This window comes from Homo sapiens, chromosome 7 (assembly GCF_000001405.40).
Source record: "Homo sapiens chromosome 7, GRCh38.p14 Primary Assembly".
Taxonomy (NCBI): domain Eukaryota; kingdom Metazoa; phylum Chordata; class Mammalia; order Primates; family Hominidae; genus Homo; species Homo sapiens.
In genome coordinates, this window is record NC_000007.14 from 63,679,031 (window position 1) to 63,684,130 (window position 5,100).

Below are 5,100 nucleotides of genomic sequence, written 5' to 3' on the forward strand. Positions count from 1 at the left end.
TTTATTGTCATATTGTTTATGTACAAGAAAACAACACATTCTGACAACAGAACAGTGGGGTGGGTTGGGGGGGTGGTCAGCACCAGGTGCTGGGCCTGGTGGGATGGGCTGTGCCTTGCCAGAGACCCCTGCCCCTTGTGGGATCAAGGAGCCTCTCTCCAAGAGTCCCTCTGGGCCAGGCACGGTGACTCACACCTGTAATCCCAGCACTTTGGGAGGCTGAGGCAGGCAGATCACCTGAGGTCATGAGTTTGAGATCAGCCTGGCCAACATGGTGAAACCGTGTCTCTACCAAAAATATAAAAATGAGCCGGGTGTGGTGGTGGGTGCCTGTAGTCCCAGCTACTCAGGTGGCAGAGGCAGGAGAATCACTTAAACCTAGGAGGCGGAGGTTGCAGTGAGCCAAGATCACGCTACTGCACTCCAGCCTGGGTGACAGAATAAGACTCCATCTCAAAAAAAAAAAAATCCCACAAAGAGATCCTCTGCAGACAGAAGCAGCTAAGATTCTCATTCCAAGGACTGGAAGGCTTCCACCCAAGGGGGAGGTCACAGCTTTAATCACACAGATACGGTGCTAGGGGTGGAGGTGGCGGGGCGGACCAGCACCGCTCGCAGATCTGCAGAGAGCACTCACTGCCGGGGTGGCCTAGAATTCCGCTGTGATGCTCTGACGTCAAAGGACTCTGATCTGTAACTCCCAAGTGGGACCTTGCTTCAGACTTGAGCAAACAGGGGAGCTGGACTCTTGGAGTATTGTGGTCCAACAGCAAGGCAGCCTTGTACCAATGCCGGGGCAGGAAAGGGACTTGCCACTTGGAACTCTCGCTAGTAAGTTCCATATGGGACCTGAGAGCCCCAATCTCTACATAAAGCTCTAGTGGGGCAAAACCTATGAGAAAATACAGGGTGAAAAGTACTGTGGAGCAAAAAACCCACCCAAGTCCCAAAGCCATCCATGCAAGAAGTGACCAACCTCAGTTCCTCTCCCCTTGCCCAGAACTCCAGGTGATGTGCAAAAGTTGCAACCACACACTATATATTTTTTGTTTCTTTCTGAGACAGGGTCTCACTCTGATGCCCAGGCTGGAGTGCAGTGGTGCAACCACAGCTCACTGCAACCCCCACCTCCCAGGCTGAAGAGATCCTCCTGCCTCAGCCTCCCAAGTAGCTGGGACTACAGGCATGCACCACTATACTCAGCTTTTTTTTTTTTTTTTAAATATTTTTGTAGAGATGGGGTCTCATTATGTTGCCCAGGCTTGTCCAGAACTCCTGAGCTCAAGCAACCTACCCGCCTCGGCTGGGATTACCAGCTTGAGCCACCACGCCCAGCTTACTGTCTTGCTTTACATAGAACAGTTCTCTAAACACCTTTTTAGTCACAGTTGTAAATCATTCATATTTTTCCAATGCTATGGCTAAAGGATGAACACTGATGTCTCCAATTTCAGTATCTTTGTGAAAACAGCTAATTAGCAACTAAGCACTTTTGAGCTGGGGCAAGCTCTTGCTGCTTTGAGTACACCTGTGATGAATGTGGCCAGAAGGAAGAAGTGAGTTTTGCTCAGCACACACTTATCAAGTGCCTGTTGTGTGTCCTGCACGTGCATGGCCAGAAGGAACATCCTCACCACCTGGTGCTGAAATTCTGCAAAAGAATAAGTGCAAATAATGGTAATAGGGCATTAAAAATGCCAAACAGGGCCGGGCGTGTTGGCTCATGCCTGTAATCCCAGCACTTTGGGAGGCTGAGGCGAGTGGATCACCTGGGGTCAGGAGTTCGAGACCAGCCTGGCCAACATGGTGTAACCCCGTGTCTACTAAAAATACAAAAAATTAGCTTGGTGTGGTGGCAGGCTCCTGTAGCACCAGCTGTTCTAGAGGCAGAGGCAGGAGAATCGCTGGAATCCAGGAGGCGGAGGTTGCAGTCAGCCAAGATCATGCCACTGCACTCCACCCTGGGCAACAGAGCGAGAGTCTGTCTCAAAAAAATAAAATTAAATTAAATAACAAATAAACAAGAGCTTTTCAGTTAAAAGACAAGGAACACAAAAATTCAACATAATTTTGGTTAAGAGAGGGAGGAATTGTAAGTCAGCCTGGGTTAACTAGGGCTATTGGGAATACCCAAGGATGCTCGTGGCAGGCCCTCCAGCCCATGTCTAGAAGGCAGATAGGTGGGCTTGGTTATTTTTAGAACACCAGGAGTGATCTAGGGTCTTTAATAAATGCAGGACACTAGTCAGAAGCAAATCAGGCCAGGCATGGTGACTCATGCCTGTAATCCTAATGCTTTGGGAGGCCAAGGTGAGATGATTACTTGAGGCCCATGAGTTCAAGACCAGCCTGGGCAACAAAGCAAGACCCCACCTCTACAAAAATAAAAATAAAAAGTATTAGCTGGACATGGTGATGTGCACCCACTGTAGTCCCATCTAATCAGGGAGGGTGAGGTGAGAGCGTCCCCTGAGCCCAAGAATTTGAGGCTGCAGTGAGCTATGATTGCACCACTGCACTTCAGCCTAGGTGACAAAGTGAGATCCTAACTCTTAAAAACAAAACAAAACAAAAGAAAACAAAACAGGCCTTCCCTTAAATACTAACACTCACCCAACCCACCAGCATTCTTGCACATAAAACCCAACCAAATGAACATTTTACTGAGGGACCAACAATAGCATGAAGGCAAAAACCAGATGAGGTACACATTAAGCAATTCTGCACAATGGGCTGCAGCCTCAAGGTGCCCACAGGATCTGGTTATTTCTGGAGAAATCTAAAGCTGGGCCAGAGTGATTGATTAGACAAGAATGTTTTCCAATGTCAATGGACATAAAATATACACGTTGGTCTGCAAGTATGAAATTGTTTAAAAATCTTTAGAACTCAAGATGCAATCTTCCTTCCACAGGAGGTGGGTGAGAAAGAAGCCTGGGTCAGACACATGCACTTGGGAAAACATTTGGAAGTGGTTTTGTGGACAAGTTGCCTGTGAGAGGCATGCAGAGTCTGATTGCTATTTTAGTGCTAGCATCCAGAAACAAGCCTAATGCAGGGCAGTTGCTTTCCAAAAGAGCTAAACTAGGGTCTCTCTCTCTCTCTTTTTTTTTTTTGAGACAGAGTTTCACTCTTGTCAGCCAGGCTGGAGTGCAATGGTGCAATCTCGGCTCACTGCAACCTCTGCCTCCCAGGTTCAAGCGATTCTCCTGCCTCAGCCTTCCAAGTAGCTGGAATTACAGTTGCCTGCTACCACACCCAGCTAATTTTTGTATTTTTAGTAGACACAGGGTTTCACCATGTTGGCCAGGCTGGCCTTGAGCTCCTGACCTCAGGTGATCCTCCTGCCTCAGCCTCCCAAAATGCTGGGATTACAGATGTGAGCCATGGTGTCCGGCCACTAGGGTCTCTTTAGAACACACACACACACACACACACACACACACACACACGTGCACGCACCACTGACAAAACCAGGCCCTGGTTTGGGACAAAGGATTTCATTTTCTTCCTGAGCCCTCAAACTTTAAAACCTATATATTTTTAAATGAGATCCAATTCAGTACCTTCATCTGTAATCTTAAACCAGTGGCCCAACTGTGTACCGGGCAGTGCAGACCGCTTTGGAAAGGTTTAATCTTGGAAGCAATTGGGCTGCAAGTGGCCCTGCTGCAGACGAGCCCATCATCCTCTGACAGGGGGTCTTTTCAGGCAATTTGTCAACAGCCTCAGCAGAGCAGAAGCAGCACTCAGACACTCTAATCATAGGGTGCTTCAAGGAGTGGTGGCAATCCTGCTTTCTAGATGCAGCCAACATCAATCAAAGAAAAGTCCACTTAACCAAGCTAGTGTATTTGCCAGAGGACTCAGACTGCAAAGGAGTCTTTCCAAGCTCACAGTCTATCAAGTTCAAAGGGCTATGCTTAGGCACAGCCTGCAGGCTCAGCTCATATGAAAAGGCTGGTAGGAAAGATAAAATTCAGCCAGGTGTACTGGCTCATGCCTGCAATCCCATCACTTTGGGAGGCTGAGGCAGGAGAATCGCTTGAGCCTAGGAATTTGAGACCAGCCTGCGCAACATAGCAAGACCCTGTCTTAAAAAAGAAGGTTAAAAAAAAGTTTTTAAAAGAAAGACAAAAATCCCTAGAGAGAGGCGGCAAGAGCTGCTGCTTCTAAAAGCACAGCCCAGCCACAGCCATGTGGACTCCAGAGCTGGCCCCTCCTGCTCCAGTGATCAGATTGCTTCCCCTCCCCTCCTGCTGGCCTTGGGACAGGATCTGGTGGCATGGGGGAGGCCAGCATTCTTCCTGCTGTCTGTCCTCTGCAAGCCAGGCTCCTGCCCAAGGAGGGAAATGCTGCAGAGGCACCCTACAGAAGTGTAGCCTGAGGGCCAAGAGGAAACTCCTGCTTCAAAGCCCGGCCATGAACCTGAGCACTCAGGGGCCTGTTTCTTGCCTGCCCTTGGCATAACAGCTCCTACTTGACAAAGGGAGGAAGAGAGAACTGGACACCTATGTTTGGAGGGAGGAAGCGACTTCCCGCCCAACACAGCATAGCATCCTCTCCAGGATCCTCTGCCCCAGCCAGAGCCTGCTCTGGCACTGGAGGCCAAGGCCGCTTTCTTGGTCCAAAAAAAAAAAAACACCATTTTTTTCACCAGTGACAGGTTCACCTTCAGAAAGGAAACCAGAAAACCCAAAAGCCCCTCTTTCTCTTCTTCCTCAAATGCTATCAGCCTGAGTGGGGTGTGGAAATACTACTTCTCCCCAAAACAGGCTGTGATGCTGGTGGACGAACATGACAGATGCCCTGCTGGCAGTCCTGCTGAAAAGCGATGGCTTGGAGAATCGCCCAGGCTGGGGAAGATGCCCAGGGTCTTAGATGGTTACCCCTGCCCAACCCTCAGGCAGGACAGGAACTGGCTGTCTCCTCTCTGAGTCTTGAAATCTACACTGCACACACCTGGCAAATGTGCACCTGCAGCTCAGGCACAGCCCTGCAATCCACACTGCACACACCTGGTAAATGTGCACCTGCAGCCCAGGCACAGCCCTGCCATCCACACTGCACACACCTGGTAAATGTGTACTGGCAGCCCAG

The 5,100-nt window shown here is 49.4% G+C and overlaps 1 annotated feature.

The window, feature by feature from the left end:
• Window positions 263-475: a silencer, noted in NCBI's record as "fragment chr7:63139671-63139883 (GRCh37/hg19 assembly coordinates)". NCBI's record gives its function as "represses an EF-1alpha promoter that drives an FKBP-Casp9 reporter gene in an ReSE screen in K562 erythroleukemia cells {active_cell/tissue: K562}" and the evidence as "EXISTENCE:reporter gene assay evidence [ECO:0000049][PMID:32094911]".